Here is a 3,442-nt window from a genome sequence, read left to right as displayed (position 1 = left end):
AGTTCAACATGAGATTTTGGTGGCAACACATAGCCAAACCATATTATGCCACCACTAGTCCCTGCCAAATCTCATGTCCTTCTCACATTTCAAAACACAAGCATGCCTTCCCAAAAGTCCTCCAAAGTCTTAACTCCTTCCAGTATTAACTCAAAAGTCCAAGTCCAAAGTGTCATCTGGAACAAGGCAAGTCCTTTCCACCTATGAGCCTATAAAACCAAAAACAAATTACGTACTTCCAAGATCCAATAAGGGTACAGTCATTGTGTAAATGCTCCCATTCCAAATGAGAGAAATTGGCCAAAACAAAAGGGCTACACATCCCATGCTAGTCTGAAATCCAGCAGGGGAGTCATTATATTTTAAACCTTCATAATAATCTCCTTTGACTTTGTCTCACATCCAGGATACACTAATGCACTGGGTGGCCTCCGAAGGCCTTGGAAAGTTCTGCCCCTGTAGCTTTGCAGCATACAGCCCCCACGGCTGCTTTCACAGGCTGGAATTGAGTGCCTGTGGCTTTTCCAAGCACATGGTGCAAACTGTCAGCAGATCTACCATTCTGGGATCTGGAGGACAGTGGCCCTCTTCTCATAGTTTCACTAGGCAGTGCCCCAGTGGGGACTCTGCGTGGGGCCTCCATCCCCACATTTCCCTCCTGCACTGCCCTACTAGATGATCTCCATGAGGTCTCCACCCCTGCAGCAGACTTCTCCCTGGACATCCACACATCCCCTTAAACCTAGGTAGAGGCTCCCAAACCTCAACTCTTGCCTTCTGCACACCTGCAGGCCCAACACAATGTGGAAGTCACCAAGGCTTGGGGCTTACACCCTCTGAAGCAATGGACAAGCTGTATCTTGCCCCTTTTAGCCAATGCTGCAGCTGAAGTCTCCATGATGCAGGGTGCCATGTCCCTAGGCTGCACAGAGCAGTGGGTCCCTGAGCCTGGCCCACAAAACCATTTTTGCGTCCAGGCCTGTGATGGGAGGGGTTGCCTTGAAGTTCTCTGAAATATCTCAGAGGCATTTTCCCCCTTGTCTTGGCTATTAACATTCGGCTCCTCTTTACTTATGCAAATTTCTGCAGCCTTCTTGAGTTACTCCCGAGAAGATGGGTTTTCTTTTCTACCACATGGCCAGGCTGCAAATTTTCTGAACTTTTATGCTCTGCTTCCCATTTAAATGTAAGTCCCAGTTGCAGGTCATTTCTTTGTTTATGCAAATAAGCATAGGCTTTTAGAAGCAGCCAGACCACCTCTTGAATGCTTTGCTGCTTAGAAATTTCTTCCAACAGATACCCTAAACCACCTCTCTCAAGTTCAAATTTCCATAGATCCCTAGAGCAGGGGCACAATGCCATCAGTCTCTTTGCTAAAGTATAGCAAGATTGACCTTTACTCCAGTTCCCAATAAGTTCCTCATCTCTATCTGAGATCACTTCAGCCTGGACTTCACTGTCCGTATCACTATCAGCATTTTGGTCACAACCATGCAACAAGTCTCTAGGAAGTTCCAAACTTTCCCTTATCTTCCTGTCTTCTTCTGATCCCTGCAAACTGTTTCAACCTCTGCCTGCTACCCGGTTCCAAAGTCACTTCCACATTTTCAGGTATCTTTATTGCAATGTCCCACTTCTCTGCTACCAATTTTCTGTATTAGTTTATTGCTATAAAGAACTACCTGAGACTGGGTAATTTATTTTTAAAAAGAGGCTTAATTGACTCTCAGTTCCATACGCTGTGCAGGAGGCATGGCTGGGGAGGCCTCAGAAAACTTACAAACATGGCATAAAGTGAAGAGGAAGCAAGCACATATTCACTTGACCAGCAGGAGAGAGAGTGAAGGGGGTGGTGCTACACACTTTTAAACAACTAGATCTTGAGAGAACCCATTATCACAAGAACAGCAAGGGGGAAATCTTCCCCCAGGATCCAGTTACCTCCCACCAGTTCCCTCCCCCAACATTGGGGATTACAATTCAACGTGAGATTTGGTTGGGGACACAGAGAAGAGCCAAACCATATCAGATGCCTTGTCACAGTCTATCGTGCAACTTGTAAATGGAAGAGCCAGTGCTAGGATCCAGTTATCTTGTATCCACTGCAGCACTTGCTCAGAACCACTTTTTCTGAAAAATTCAAATTCCATAAGAATTAAATGAAGGCAGAAGACAAATAATATAGCATTCTAAAATTAATTCATACAGTTCATAAGTCAGAAGACAAATAATATAGCATTCTAAAATTAATTCATACAGTTCTTTTATTCCAAACTTAATCTTAGTTGTCTCATTAAATGAAAGTTTCTGGGTTGACCACTGATGAAGACATAGACAGAAGCTATGAATTTTACACATACTTTGATCACATTTTTTCTTGCCTGAATTATTAGAAGAATAACATGTTTCAGTGTGCTTGATTGCTAAGTGAGACAGATAAGTGTAAGGTTATTTTTCAAGCAATATACTTGCTCGTCTTTCAGGAAGCACTTTACTCATGATTACATGTGCACTTAGATAAAAGTACAGTTTTTATCTTGATTGTCACTCATGATGTAATTATTCATAAACTTAAGAAAAGAAGTTTCTTTCAGCATGACAAATGGTTCTCATGCTTGTGACATGACACTTTTGATCTGTTATGTGAAGGGAAAGGTTTTTCTTCCACCTACCTAAAATTTTCCCCAATACAAGAAATTTGACAGCACTGAATTCTGTACCTGACAGGATGACTTGTCTCCTTGCATTTTGTTAACCTAACAATTTCTTCCAATAGAAGCATTCAAATGAAGAGTAACTTTGTGATAAAAACACAGGAAGCAAAGGGAAACCAAGGGAAAAAACTCATAAAATAAACCACCTGTTAGTGCTACCAAAAAGGTTAAGAGATCAATTCCAAGATTTATATACTAAGAGGAAAATATTTTTAACCAACTTATAGAATGTCATAAGCTGCCACTCCACCTGCTATCTCCTTTCCCGATTTACTTTGCTTCATAGGATATCTATAACTGGGAGGATATACAAAGAAATACAATGCATTACTTTATACCTCAAAACTTTTAACTAAGAATAAAATATTACATGAGGCAGAGAAATGTTCTATCTATAGATTTAATATCTAAATGATTTTCTTCAAAAGCCAGCAACAGAGTAAAATTTATTTTGTGGTGACTTTTCATTATTTATCCTCATTTTAATCAAAATCAGGTTGTTTTTCTTGTTCTAAATTGCTATTATATATAGCATTTGTGGTTTGACAATTCAATGAAAATAGGTTTTCACCGAAATATCAATTCAAAGTTTCTACCAGTAGTATCCAGCGATAAAATCGACTATGTTTCCTTATGAACTAAAAGCAAAACTTGACATCTAAGTAATCAAATGTTAATAATAGCTTGGATAGATTCTCATTGTTAAACAAAAGCAAAGCAAAGAACAA

Source organism: Homo sapiens, chromosome 9 (assembly GCF_000001405.40).
Source record: "Homo sapiens chromosome 9, GRCh38.p14 Primary Assembly".
Classification (NCBI taxonomy): domain Eukaryota; kingdom Metazoa; phylum Chordata; class Mammalia; order Primates; family Hominidae; genus Homo; species Homo sapiens.
This window is presented reverse-complemented; position numbering follows the sequence as displayed.